This window comes from Homo sapiens, chromosome 14 (genome assembly GCF_000001405.40).
Source record: "Homo sapiens chromosome 14, GRCh38.p14 Primary Assembly".
Classification (NCBI taxonomy): Eukaryota; Metazoa; Chordata; class Mammalia; order Primates; family Hominidae; genus Homo; species Homo sapiens.
In genome coordinates, this window is record NC_000014.9 from 92,457,875 (window position 1) to 92,472,802 (window position 14,928).

Genomic DNA, 14,928 nt, shown 5'->3' on the forward strand with positions numbered 1-14,928 from the left:
GCCAGAGGCTGTCCTGCCTCTTGTCCCATCTTGATGGGAACACCTGCCTGCGGTAGGTGGCGTGGGCCTGGCAGGCTGGGGTGCCCTGCCCCCTGCTTTCATGCTTCCGCATGAAGATGCAGGTTTCATTTAGGATCACGGAGCTTCCCTGGAGTTTCTGGGTTAGAGAGATTCTCTGGGTTAGAGATTCCAGGGCATGCTCGTCGCAGCTATCCAGGGGCTCTTCCCAAAATGCCAGGCCTGGTTCTGAACCTGAACATTCCAGAGCCTGGAGCAGGGCCTGGGGATCTGCATTTTCAAACCCTCTCCCTTTGCTTCCTGGGAGCTGGCTGGGTTCAGAATTGCTGGCCAACACCTCCCAGGCTTTCTTCACATTAAGAGCAGACTCAGAAAATGAAATGTGTTCCCTGACTGGGGTCACAGAGGAGCCCAGCCCAGGGGTTCAGGCCTCCCAGGCCTCCTCTGCTGACCAGAAGGCCGAGGGGATTGGTGTCTCGGCCCGTCTCAAACGCTTCCCTGGCATGCCCGCACACCTGCCCACCTGCTCTGTGGGGAACAGGGGCCCTGCTCAGCCAGTCTGGCTGGTGGGGAGAGAGGTCACGCCATGCTTGGGTCAACTCAGCCACCAGGGCTGTGTGTGGGACATGAAGAGCAGGAGGGGTGGTCTCCAGATTCCAGGTCCCCTTCCCAGATTACCTGTTTGGATTCACCAAGTGAGGGAAGATTTCTACATGGCAGGGCGCTGGGAGGGCAGTGTGTCCACCCAGAGAACCAGCTCACGGTGATGAACCAGGACGGGCCCTGTATTCACAGAAGGTCCAGGCACAGGCCGTGATTCGAGCCCTGGCCACCCCTTACAGCCCCAAGTTATCGCACCCCCAGCTCACTTTCCCTCCTGTGTCCACGTGGGGCTGGGGAAAGGTCAGAGCTGCAGTCACCAAAGGAATTTCGGTTCTTTGGGTCCTGGAGACCAGATGCCAGGGAGGGCCAGAGTGCCAGAGCAGGCTGCATTGAGGGAGATGCAACCACAGTCCAGGAAACAGCCGAGCTTATGAGGGGTGGGGCGAGGAGGAGCGACTTGCTGTCTGGAGAGTTCTATGTGCCCCTTCTCCACCCCTTGAAGTGGGTGGCAGAATCCCCATTTTGCAGATGTGGGGCCTGAGGGGGCCAGAGCTACCACTGCCCCGCACTGGCCACTTCACCTGAATCCTGGTATCAAGGCTGTCCACTGTCCAGGCGCTGCAGGAAAACCAGGGGAAGGGATGTGCCCGTTTTGGTCATCCTTACCTAAGCAAGTCAGCCATAGGTGAGGATGCCTCATCTTCCCATTCCTTAAGCCCAGAGTTTGACAGGATTGTGCAGGGAGGACCCCGGACCAGCCACGCCTTCGCCTTGTCCTTGTACTGGGAGCTGCTGTTCCATAGAGAAGTGGCTGTGCGGCCTCTGGACAGGTCACTTCCCAGGGTCAGAGGCTTAGAATGCAGCTGTCTTGCAAGGGCTGGAACCAGATGGCTCCTGGGTCCAGGTTCTCTGCACCCCTGAGTCCTCCTCTGAGGGGCTCTGCCCTTGCTTGGGGGCAGGACTTCCTGCTAGATAGGGGCCCACCTTCTTCCTCAAGCCAGAGGCTCTAGGCTGTTCCCCTGGGCTCAGTGCATGCCTGAGCCAAGTTCCACACGTTTCCTCTGTGCGAGTGTCCTCCCTGCCCTCAGGAATAGGCCTCAGCTTCCTGCATCCCAGGGGAAACCTCCTTTGTGCGTCTGCGGATGTGTTTCCAGGTGTTGTCCCTGGAAACCACGAATGGCTTCCTTTTCTTCTTCCTCCCTTTCCCCTGTGAGGAGCAGGCGGTGGGAACGGAGTTGTACAGCTGCTTCTCGTTTAGGTGTGTACAGCTGCCTAGGAAAATTGAGGCCCGGGGTAGGCAGAGGTTAACAGGAAATTGGAACAAGTCAGTGAGACTCCGCCCCCGACAGAAATACCCTGTATCCAGCTCCTGGCCCTGCCACCACCCACCTCACCCCACCCACCCCTTGTTCAGGTTTCACAGTGGCCTGGGGCTGCAGGATGGCTTTGAGGGTGTTTCTTAGGGGTGGATGCAGCTAGCGTTTTCCAAAGCTGGGGCGCTGGAAGGAATCACAGGACCAGGGGAGGAATCACAGGGCCAGGGGCCGCGGGAAGAGGGGGAAGCCACCCTGCTGGTGAGCTCGGAACCAGCATAGCTTCGGGTGTCAAGGAATGAGTCTAGCCCCGTGCCAATGTGCAGATATCGTGTGTTGTGAAGGACAAGCTGGGAGGCCGGCTCTGGAGTGCAGGAATCCTGGGTTCAAATCTCAGTTCTGCCACTCACCAGCAGGGTGAGTCTGGGCAAGCTCCTTCACCTTCCTAAACCTCCATTCCTCATCCACAAAGTGGCGGGTGACGGCACCTACCTCCCAGGATTGATCTGAGTAGCAAATCAGATACTTTAGTCGAGGTCTGTGCACTGTGTCTGGCACACAGTAGGTGCTCAGCAAATGTTAGTGTGAATCCTAGTGTGCTTTAACCATGTGGCTTCTGTTATCCTCTCCTTTTGGGACTACAGTGTTCTAGAAAGATCGTAGGTTCCAGAATCCCTGGGGGCCTGGGACGATCTGTCATTCCAGGGCTCAAGGAGAGGGAATTATCGTGTACCAGGCACCTGTTATGTGCCAGGTCTGGGCTTCAGGCACTTAGCAGACAAGATGATCCTCTCAGTCAGTAAACAGTTAGGGCCCAGGCTCTGTTCTGGGCTTTGTGGATCAGGTAGGAACAGGACAGCCATGGTCCCTGCCCTCTGGGAGCTTCTGGGCTTGCAGAGCAAATCTGAGCAGATGACCACACAATGTTCTTTATACACTGTCTCCCACCCCTAGCATACAGCTGATAAGTGGGGAGGTGGGAGGCCACAGCCTGCTCCCTCCTCGCTGACCCCAGATGACGGGTCGCTGGGATTGCCGGGGTGGAGCCCGGCAGCATCAGCAGGACCCAGCTTCGGTGCCCACCTGGCCTGATGGTGGATTTACAGGTGGACACCCAATACAGGCAAACTCTTCCCACTTTAGACTGCAGAGGCTGGTAATTAGGCCTCCCAGGAGTGGGTGTGGGTAGGGGGAAAAAGAGGAAGAGGCGCTTTCGCCCGTGGAAACCATGGTCTGCAGTGCTGGCACCGCCCTGAAACGGTCGGCAATGACCCTGAGCCGCAGCCCAGCTGGGAAAGTCTCCTGGTGCAGCTTGTTTGCTTGTTGTGGCGCATAGTCTGGGGAATCTTGTGAGCCTGCTGAGGCTGCTCCCTGGCCCGCCAACAGGACTCTCTCCTGCGCCCGTAACGGTAAGGAAATCACATTGTTCTTACCAGGACGCTGGCCTTCGTGGCCACTTTTATTATAGCAGCCAACAAACAGCTACTGGGGACTTGCCATATGTCAGGCACTAAGCAGGAAATGGGGAATTCTTCTATTGCTCTGTAATTCTTATATTAGTCAGCTCAGGCCGTCCTAACAGAATGTCACCGACGAAGCAGCTTAAACAACGGAAATGTATTTTCTCACATTTCTAGAGGCTGCAAGTCTGAGATCAGGGTGCCAGCATGGTTGGGTTCTGTGTCCCTCTTCCTGACTTGTAGACAGCTGCCTTTTTGTTCACGTGGCCTTGTTTGTTTGTTTGTTTGGTGCATGCATGTGGAGAGAGATCTTTCTCTTCCTCTTCTTCTGAGGCCACTATTGAATTAGGACCCCACTCTTAGTACCTTAATTACCTCCTAAAAGCTCTATCTCCAAATACAGTTACATTGGGGGTTAGGACTGCAACATATGAATTTGGAGGCGGGTAGGGGGAGGAATAATTCAGTTCATGGCAGGATCTCACGGGGCATCTGTGCCCCATGCCCTTTTCTAAGAGCTTTACATGTATCCCCTCATTCATGCCTTGCCACAGAACGAGGTAGGAATGCTTATTATCTCCACTTTACAGAGAAGGAAGGGGAAGCACAGAGAGGTAAGTGATTGCCCATGGTCACCCAGCAGCTCTGCAGGTGCAATGAGCCGGGTTTCCACCCCGAGCACCAGACACTATCCTCTGAGTACTGCCTCTTCATTCCAGGCACTTTCATTTAATCTTCACAGCTGCTTTGTGAGGGAGGAATATTATCCTCATTTATAGAGGCGGAAACAGGCTCAGAGAGGCTGCGGGGCTCCCCGAGTCACACAGCCATTGGGTAGGGAGTCACTTTTCCACTCTGTGCTTCCCAAGCTGTGAATACCCTCAAGATCTGGTCCAGCCGGGAGCAGAGTCCCAAAGCACCAGCCCAGAGCTGTCATGAAGCCAGCACATGGCCTTAGGTATGTACCCTCAGCCTGCAATGCAATTTGGCTCCTCTCAGTGAAGAAACGATGGGATAAGTGTGTGTTTCACAAAAGTCCAGGCCCTTGGAAGTTCTTAGAACAGTAACAGGAGGTAAAACGCACTAAGTACTTACTCTGGGCCAGACAGGGTGCTTTATTTTATTTTTGTTTATTTATTTATTTTTTGAGACAGACTCTCACCCTGTCTTCCAGGCTGGAGTGTAGTGGCATGATCTCCGCTGACTGCAACCTCCGCTTCCCGGGTTCAAGAGATTCTCCTGCCTCAGCCTCCCGAGTAGCTGGGAGTACAGACACATACCATCACGCCTGGCTAATTTTTGTATTTGTAGTAGGGACAAGGTTTCATCATGTTGACCAGGCTGGTCTCGAACTCCTGACCTCAAGTGATCCACCCACCTCGGCCTCCCAAAGTGCTGGGATTATAGGCATGAGCCACCATGCCCAGCCGAGACAGGGTGCTTTATACACATTAAGTCATTAAACCCATTAAAACCCTAGGGAGGTGGATAATGTTATTGTTCCCATTTCACAGGTGAAGAAACTGAGGCACAGAGAGGCTGAGTTGCCCAGGGTCATACAGGAGGAAGGGACAGAGCTAGGATTTACACAATGGCCTCTGACCCCAGACCCCAGATGTGCTTAGGGGACAACACTACCACCCAACCAAAGGACTCTTTGCTCTTCTTTTCTTGGGAGCTCGTAAGGGAATTGGTTTCCTCCGTCTGGGATGCTAGTCTTCTAGTGTGTGTGCAGGGTGCTAAATAATTTGTGTGTGTGTTGAGTAAACTGTGTTGAATTGGGTTGAATTAAGGGCCTTTGGAATCTCACATGCTGTCTTCAGGGCTTGGATGGTACCACCCAGCCTTCTCTTCTGTTATTATAGCAAAACCCGGAACAGGCAATCGGAAGATTTCGGGAAGCTTTTAGAGCTTTTCTCCCCATCCACCCCCATCTTCTTCAGTTTTAAATAGCTCTTGAGAGGGCTCTACCGGTGGGGAGGAGAGAGGTCTTTGTGGTCCTTTTAAGCTCAGAAGGCGGCACTGCAGAAATGGAACTCTCTTAACACTCCGCCTTCCTGTCCTTTCCTCTTAGCGTCTCGGCACGTTGGTGACAGCAGTGCAGGAAATGGGGATGCTGTGGGCTCATTTACATGTGCAGTTCCATACACAGTTCTCGTCTGTTCCAGGCCCCCAGAGACACACAGCACTTTGTAGTGAAAATGATTTTGTTCTTACCTTGGTCTCGGAAGCCACCAGAGAAATTGCACATTCGGTTGACTGTCTCATAAGTCAAGGTCAGAATTTTAAAGGAGCTTCCTTTTCAGTCACTCTGTGTGCGCAGAGGTATCAGTTCTCAGACAAATTAGAACAAAACCTGGCTGAGCGTCCTTATTTTTTCATATAACAGGTCTTTTTCACTTATCATAATATTCATTCCTTTAAGTGTACAATTCAGTGGCTTTTAATATAGTCACAAAATTGTGGAATCGTCATCAACATCAGTTTCTGAACATTTCCAACACCCCAAAAGGCACCCCTCACCCATAACTGCCCTTCCCTCCTCCCCCGACCCCCTAGCAACCACTAACCGACTTCTTATGTCTTTGGACTTATCGATTCTGAATATTTCATATAAAGAGGATCACGCAATTTGTGGCCTTTTGTGACTGGCTTCCTTTACCTAACATGATGTTTTCAAGGTCCATCCACGCTGTACTATGTGTTGGTACTTTATTCCTTTTTATGGCTGAATATTCCATTGGATGGATCATGAATGCCACATTTTATCCATTCATCAGTTGATAGGCATTTGAGTGGTTTCTACTTTTAGGCTATGAGTGGGTTTTTTAAGAGACCAAATAGAGCATCGTAGAAAAGAAAACTCAGTATTTTTTATCGAAATGAAAGCAATATTCTTTTAAGTTTTCTGTGGTTAGCAGTAAACAGTCTCTGAATACTAGAGGGATCTTGGGAATTTTTAGAGTGGCCTTCTTATATTCCAAAGTGGGAAACTGAGAACCGGAGAGGACCAGCGGCTTGCCCAAGGGACAGTCTTGACCAGACAGAACCAGGCATCCAGGCCACCTGCCCTGGAAATCCACTCTGTGCCACCCCTCCAGCCAGGCCAATATAGTACATGCTGGGAGTGGGGAGATAAAGACCTGCCCGGGACCACGTGTCAGGGTCCTGAACAAGAATGCCAGCAACGAAAGCCCACCCAACAGATCTTCGCATGCCAGCAACAAGAAGCCCACACAAGCCTCCTTATGCTAAAAGAGGGATTTTTAAAAATAAGTTTACAGGGGTGTGCTGATGCTATAGCAAAACCCAGCATCCCCCAGCCCTGCTGGACAGTAGCAGGAAGGTGGTCGGTCCAGCCTCACCGCAATTCTGCTTTTCAAATCAGAGACCTAATTTGAATCCAGAACTTTAACTTCTGGGAGATGTCACCGTTAGCTTTCCAGCCTCTGCAGATACACTGGAAGGAGGCTGGAATATGGGGGCTGCCGAGGATGTCACGCTTCATACGTCCCCTTACACGGGCGTTGTAGTGAAGCTGAAGAAAAGCAGTGAAGCCATCTTAACAGTGTCTTCACATGGACCAGACCCAAGGGCCGCCAAGAAACCTGTGCAGCTTTTAGAGCATCCTGGGGGAGGCGAAGGAGGGCAAGGCCCCAGCCAACAACTACACAGCAGAGTGTCCTCCAGCAGGCACCTGCTCTGGCCCCAGCACCGTGCCTGACATCTTCTATTCAGTACTTAGAGTGTCCATGGCAGCCCTGCTGGGTAGCTGGTATTTATGGTATCCCCATTTCCCAGATGAGAACAACGTGTTCCCTGATTCTGTTGGTGTCTCTCTGATGCAGCCTCGATTTAATGCTCCCCAGGGCCTCCAAATTCAAGGTGAGGCCTTCAGAGGCAGGGCAATATGCTTGGTGCTTTTTGCATTTCTTTCATCTGCCCAGGGGTCCTTGAAGTGGGTGGGCCGGGACAGTTATCACTGTCTCACGGGTGAGGACATGGAGGCCCAGAGAGATTAATGGCCCCCCTAGTGCCACACCATCAAGAGTAATGGGACAGGACAACTTTGTCAGAAGCCTTGAGATCCCTGCGGTGAGATGCAAAGCGGGCCTTAACTTCAGGTCATCTTTAGAATGAGGGAGCTGGTGCTTCAACCCTGACATCCTTCCAGCTCTGGGACCCATTTACATCCAGTTGCAGAGCAGCCACAGAGCTTCAGGGTGGGGGCTGTGGGAGTGTCTGCAGTGCTGGGCCAGTGGTCCCTGGAATGGGGTTCCTGGGATCGGCACCAGCCGAGGGAGCTCTGGGCCCGGCTTCTCCCTTGACTGACAGAGCCTGGTCTGCAGCTCCGCTCCTTCCCTCCCCACGAGGGCAGCTGCTTCAGCGAGGAAGCATACACAGGATCCCTGTGTCACTCGACTGTGCCTGTGTGAGAAGGAGACCAAGCCAAGGCTGCCTCCCCTAGGAAGGCCCCCTCCCGACCCCCGAGAGCTCTCCAGGCCTTTATGTGGTGCTGCCAGGGAGGCGTCTCTTCCTGGGCCTTTGGTCTCTCTGCACCACCCCCAGCCCAGACAACCTACACCTGTGTGTGGCACTCAGCTGGGCCTGCCTCTGACTTTGCTGATACCTGATGTTTTTCCTCACATCATCCCTTTCATTCTTCCTCTTCCCCACAAACCTCAGTGTGACAGCTCAGTTCAACAGCAGGTCTTGACCTCTTCTGCTTTCTATTGGGCTTCTCTTTGCCCCTCTAATGCCCTGAGGGTCATCAAAACCCGCCCTGCAGGAGGTAGGACAGTGTCGCTAAGAGGCCTTAGCATTGGACACCCATGGAATTGAGTCCTGAGTCTGCCACTTCTAGCTGTGTGAGCTTGGACAAGTTACCTGACCTCTCTGAGCTTGTTCTAGTCTCTGTAAAACAACCCAACCCAGTGCTGACAATAGTAGCTACTCAGCAAGCGGAAGTTAACATGGTTAATATCAGCAGTAGCTGGAATTAGAGTGCTGACTCTGCACCAAGCACTGTTCTAAACACGTCATGTTTGTTGGCTCATTTTCAGTCTCACAGTAGCACAGTGGGGTGGAGATTCTTGTTATCCCCATTTTATAGATGAGAAAACTGAGATACAGAGAGGCTAAATGCTTTCCTAAGCATCCTAATGCTGGCATATGTCAGAGCTGGGATTTGAACCTGGATACCTAGCTTACTGTTTACCACAAAGCTGCAGTACCCCTCAGGCAATCAATTTAATAAGTCTAAATTTAATGGTACAAAAAAATAATAAAAATACCAAAAATTAGATTCTAAAGCTTATTCACCCCAGGGAAGAAGAGACTGGGAAAACTTCAGTGCTTCACATAAACATAGGAGGATTTTTCTGTTTAGATCGAATCTATGAGCTAAAAGTATGGGGCTCTAATCTGACAGTTGACACCTGCCCACTGGTAAGTAGCAGAGGGACTTCCATGGGCCCTGAAATAATAGGATTCAGAGGGCAGGCAAGCTGTACAGTACATAGGACCAGGATTTAGACTCTGAAGACCTGCATTCGAGACCTGGTACTATCTCCCATTGTCTATGATGCTTCAGTCAGTCACTGAATTTCACCAAACTTCAGTTTATTTACCTGTGAAACAGGAAAAATACTCCCCAATGCTCATATGAGGAACAAAGAGAGTATTTGTGAAAACAACCTCTGAGGTGTGAGGCACAACACAAATATTGGTCAATGGTGAGGTGGTCATTCATAATCCAGCCTTGATGGTACTCCAACATCCACCTGCATCTCTCTCCCTCCCCACAAAGGCCAGCACAGAGGCCACTGACTGAGGAAGCAGGGTCTGTTTGTGGCTCTGCCACTAATCTTATGTGAGATTTTGGGTAGTTCATTAACCTTCATGGGACTTGGTTTTCCTCTTTATAAAATGGAGTTCACCAAGTGGGATTTATTCCAAGAATGCAAGGTTGGTTCAACATACAAAGACCAATCAATGTGATATATACCACATTATTAGAGTAAAGGATAAAACCAGATGATCATCCCAATAGACACAGAAAAAGCACTTGACAAAATCCAACACATTTTCTTGATGAAGACACACTCACAAATTTAGGAATAGAAGGAAACTTCATCAACCTGACTAATGGCCTCAACAAAAACCCCAAAGCTAACATCATACTTAATGGTGAAAGACTAAAAGCTTTCCCCTAAGATCAAGAGCAAAACAAGAGTTAAAAGTGGGTCTTGGGAATTTTTAGACTAGTTTTCTTATATTCTAAGGTGGGAAGCTGAGGGACAGAGAGGGGAGGTGGCTTGCCCAAGGGACACTGTCGACCAAACAGAACCATCCAGGCCACTTGCCCTAGAAATTCACTCCATGTTGCCCTCCAGCCAGGCCAGTGTAGCATGTGCTGGGAGGAAAAGTAGGAGGTAAAGGCCTGCCTAGGACCATGTATCAGGGTCCTGAACAGAATACCAGTGACAGAAGCCCACCCAACAGATCTTCATAGGCCAGCACAGAAGCCCACACGAGCTGCCTTATGCTACAAGGGGGGCTTTTAAGAATAAGTTTACAGGGGTGTGCTGATGCTGCAGCAAAACTCAGCATCCCCCAGCCCTGCTGGACGTAGTGCCTCGCCACTTCTATTCCACATTATGCTGAGGGCTCTAGCCAGGGCAAATAGGCACCCAGATGAGAGAGGAAGCAGTAAAACTTTCTGAATTCATGGATGACATAATCTTGTGTGTAGAAAATCCTAAGGAACCCACACAAAAATAACACTATTAGATTTAATAAACATGCAGCATACAAGATCAATATATACAATTCAGTTGTATTTTAACACCTTAGTCATTAACAATCTGAAAATGATATTAAACATTCCCATTTACAATAGGATTTAAAAGAATAAAATACTTAGGAGTAAATTTAGCAAAAGCAGTACAAGACTTGTATGCTGAATTACAAAACATTGTAGAAAGAAATTAAAGACAATCAAATAAATGGAAAGATGTCCTGTGTTCAAGGGTTAGAAGACTTAACGTTTTAAAAATGATAATAGTCCTCAGATTGATCAGATTTAATGCAATCCTTATCAAAACCCCAGCTGACTTTTTTGCAGAAACCGACAAGCTGATCCTAAAATTCATATGGAAATGCAGGGGACCCAGAATAGCCAAAACAGTCTTTAAAAAGAACAAAGTTGGAGAACTCAAACTTCTGCCTGCAAAACTTACTACAAAGATAGAGTAATCAAGATTGTCTGGCACTGGCATAAGGATAGACATATAGATTAATGAAATACAATTGGAAGTCCTGAAATGCACCTTTACATTTCAGGCCAATTAGCTTTTGACAAGGGTAATGACAACTCACTAGGGGAAATAATACTCTTTTCAACAAATGGTGCTAGGACAACTGGATAACCACATTGAAAAGAAGTCTGATCCCTACTGCTCACCATATACAAAAGTTAACTCAATATGAAACAAAAACCTAAATATAATAGCTAAAAATATAAAACTCTTAGAGGAAAACATAGGTATACATATTTGTGACCTTGTGTTAGCCAACAGTTTCTAACCACAGAATGGGAGAAAACATTTGCAAATCATGTATCTGTGTGTGTGTGTGTGTGTGTGTGTGTGTGTGTGTGTGTGTGTCACTTAAAACTCAACAATAAAAGACAATCCAATTTGAAAATGGACAAAAGATTTGAACAGACATTTCTCCAAAGCAGATTATACAAATGGCTAATAAGGGTATGCAAAGATGCTCACATCATTAGTCATTAGAGAAATGCAAATCTAAATGAGATATCATGATGAGATGCCATTTCACACCCACTAGAATGGGTATAATCCAGAAAAGGTAGACAATAACAAGTACTGGTGAGGGGATGGGAAAATTGGAGCCCTCATACATTGCTGGTGGAAATGTAAATAGTAAACATAGGCCAGGCGCGGTGGCTCACACCTGTAATCCCAGCACTTTGGGAGACCGAGGTGGGCAGATCACGAGGTCAGGAGATCGAGACTATCCTGGCTAACATGGTGAAACCCTGTCTCAACTAAAAATATGAAAAAATTAGCCAGGTGTGGTGGTGGGCACCTGTAGTCCCAGCTACTCAGGAGGCTGAGGCAGGAGAATGGCATGAACCCGGGAGGCAGAGCTCGCAGTGAGCCGAGATCGCGCCACTGCACTCCAGCCTGGGCACGGAGTGAGACTCCATCTCAAAAAAAAAAAGGTTAAACATAGAGTCACCATATGACCCAACAATTCCCCTCTTAGTTCTGTATTTAAGAGGGATGAAAATATATGTCCACATGCAAACTTATACACAAGAGTTCATAGCAGCATTATTCATAATTGCCAAAAAGTAGAACAATTCAAATATCCATAAAGTGAAGAATGGATAAACGAAATGTGGTATATCCATATAATAGAATATTAGTCAGCCCTAAAAAGGAATGGCTTACTGATAGATGCTACAATATGGATGAGCCTAGGAAATATATGCTCAGTGAAAGCCAGACACAAAAGCCCCCATGTTACAATTCCATTTATATGGAACGCCCAGAATAGTCAAATCTATAGAGACAGAAAATTAATTAGTGGTTACCAGAGGCTGGAGGAAATGAGGAATGGGAATGACCGCTAATGGCTAGGGGTTTCCACTGGGGCGATGAAAATCTTCTGGAATTATATAGTGGTCATAGTTACACAACTTTCAAATATGGTAAAACCTGCCTGCTTGCACATTCTAAATGGGTGAATTTTATGATACGTTAATTATATCTCAATTGCTTTTAACTGGAGTTATTCTAGAGTGGTGGTCCTCAAAGTGTGGTCCTAGGACTGTCAGCATCAGCAGCACCTGGGAACTTGTTAGAAACACAAATTCTTGCAACTCCCTTCTCCTCTAGTCCTGCCAAATCATTGTGAGTGTGGTGATCTAACAGGCTTTCCAGGGATTCCGACTTACACTCAAATTTGAGAACCACTGCTTCAGAATCTGTGCTCTCCAGGTCATATAAGTGCTCTGAGCTCCCAGGTCCATGCAAATCTACTCTGCATCATCCAGTGATGCATGCATCCCTGCAAACCACAGGTTAACCACTCCCTTAATTGGAATGTGGAATTCATTCACTGTCCACATTAATTTGCTTGAGGTTTTTCATCAGCAACTGCATCTGTTCTTAATTTTTTTCTCCAGTCTGATTAGCCATCTGTTTTGTTACAGTTCATTTTCAAGACTTTTTTTTCACATAATTAAATTGTAATTTTCTACTTCAAAAGAGAAATCTGAGAGCTTAGTGAAAGGAATGACGGCAGCCCTCCGTTCTCTTGTTGATGTTTGCGTGTCAATCGGAGTCCGTGATGAACATTCCACTCCAATATTGCACCCAACGAGATGGAAGTGGGGGGCCAGGAGGGGTTCCCAATAGTGTAGGGGAGAATGTCCATCAGTATAGGCATTGTCCCATCACCTCTGCAGCCCCCAAAACTCTATTATTTCACACATGAATTAGTCCAGACTCCTAATGTTAAAGAACCCCTATTCAGGCCGGTTTAAGCCAAAAAGTTCACATGGTGGCAGGTTCCCTGAGAAAGGCTGCCTTCTGACAAGGCTAGACCCAGGGTTCAGAGGAAACAACAAGACACCATCCATCTCTCAGCATTGCTTTCCCCTGGGTTGGTTTTATCCCTGTGTTGGCTTTCCTCCACCTAAGCTTACATCCCTTTGGGTTAGCCCCATGCACAGATGGTGCCTCTGTCTCTTAAGGATTGCATTCAGCTGCATGTAACAGAAAACTCAAGTGACAGAGCCTTAAAGTCAAGGATTTTATTTTTCTCATGTAACAAGAAGTCCTGAAAGTAGGGAATCCTGAAGCTCTAGCATCAGTATCCCATTACTGTTGTCCATACTCAGCTGGTGGCTTTTGTCCTCAAGGTTGCCCACTGGCCTCTGCAACTCCAGTGACTCCCTACTCCTAGCAGGGACAAGGAGGACAAAGGGCAGAAGGCTCATACTACGGAGTCTCCTTCTCCTTATCCAGAAGAGAATGACTTTCCTGGAAGCTCCACCAAATAGACTTTAATTTGCATGTTGTGGTCCAGACCTGTCCATAGCCACCCCTACCTGCAAGGAAGCCTAGGAAATTAAGATTTTTAGCTGGGAACCTACTGTCTCAAGGAAAAGAGAGTTCTGTTAGTAAGGAGGAAAGGGCAATGGGTATTAGAGGCAGTGATTCTTGGCAGAATTCCCAAGGTTGACCCTTGTTATATTATACACCCAACCCAGGGCCTATGTAACCCCATAATACCAGGAGGTCTAGGAGTCCTGTGTTGGATTCCCAGTACCTAGAATAGTTCCTAGCATGGGGAATGAACACACTAAATATTATGGAATACATGATTAGCCAAGCTTGACTCTCATACCCACCCAGACGTCAAGGAAAGGAGTCAGCCCCTGTCTAAACTACATGAATTTAATGTGGAATAGAGGGTTGGTTCCCTAAAGGAAAATTGGCATGCTGTTACCATTAAAGGGGAGTAGATGCTAGCCAGATGAGAACAATGAATGCCCTCTACAACCTAGAATTGCCCAAAATCTGGAGAGACCAATTCACATTAGCAAAAAGTGAAAGTCACTTTCTGAAGTTAACAGTGTGTATTAGGTCTATGTTCTTATTTTCTGTATTCTTGATGCTCTGGCATCTGAGGCCTCCCTGCCTGGGGAGAAACTGCCCTTCCCAGGGCCCTTCAGTTCTCATAGATAGCAAACAGCTGCCTGCTGGGAGCATGACTTTCATGTGCAAAGCAATCAATCCAAAGCCCTACTCTGAACTGCTTCCTCCATCTGGCTCTTATACTCCAGGAGGCAACATTCCTCTCTGCCTTAGTCATCCCAGGGCAAGGTACAGACAACCAGATTCAGCCCCAGAGCTCCCTGAAGTTATTCAGTTCTCTTTTTTTAAATTTTTCATTTCCATAAGTTTTGGGGGAACAGGTGGTATTTGGTTACATGAGAAAGTTCTTTAGTGGTGATTTGTGAGATTTTCGTGCACGCATCACCCAAGCAGTACATACTGAACCCAATTTGTCATCTTTTATCCCTCACCCCTTCCCACCCTTTCCCCCGAGTCCCCAAAGTCCACTGTATCATTCTTATGCCTTTGGATCCTCATAGCTTAGCTCCCACTTATGAGTGAGAACATACGATGTTTGGTTTTCCGTTCCTGAGTTACTTCACATAGAATAATAGTCCCCAATCCCATCCAGGTTGCTGCAAATGCCATTAATTCATTCCTTTTTATAGCTGAGTAGTATTCCATCATATATATGTGCACATATCTGTGAACATATATGTGCATATATGTACACACCACAGTTTCTTTATCCACTCATTGATTGATGAGCATTTGGGCTGGTTCCACATTTTTGCAATTGCGAATTGTACTGCCATAAACATGTGTATGCAAGTAACTTTTTCACATAATGAGTTCTTTTCCTCTGGGTAGATACCC

General features: G+C 48.0%; 1 protein-coding gene across 9 annotated transcripts in view, besides 2 other annotated features; it reads left to right on the top strand.

Moving 5' to 3' along the window:
- SLC24A4 (solute carrier family 24 member 4) overlaps positions 1 to 14,928 on the top strand; it is a 178,901-nt gene that overhangs the window by 135,294 nt on the left and 28,679 nt on the right. The window lies entirely within an intron of this gene.
- Positions 3,227 to 3,296: an enhancer, noted in NCBI's record as "active region_8930". NCBI's record gives its function as "activates an Ori minimal core promoter by ATAC-STARR-seq in GM12878 lymphoblastoid cells {active_cell/tissue: GM12878}" and the evidence as "EXISTENCE:reporter gene assay evidence [ECO:0000049][PMID:35858748]".
- Positions 12,784 to 13,648: an enhancer, noted in NCBI's record as "H3K27ac-H3K4me1 hESC enhancer chr14:92937002-92937866 (GRCh37/hg19 assembly coordinates)". NCBI's record gives its function as "activates a minimal SCP1, AML or CMV promoter by ChIP-STARR-seq in primed H9 embryonic stem cells {active_cell/tissue: H9 hESC(primed)}" and the evidence as "EXISTENCE:reporter gene assay evidence [ECO:0000049][PMID:30033119]".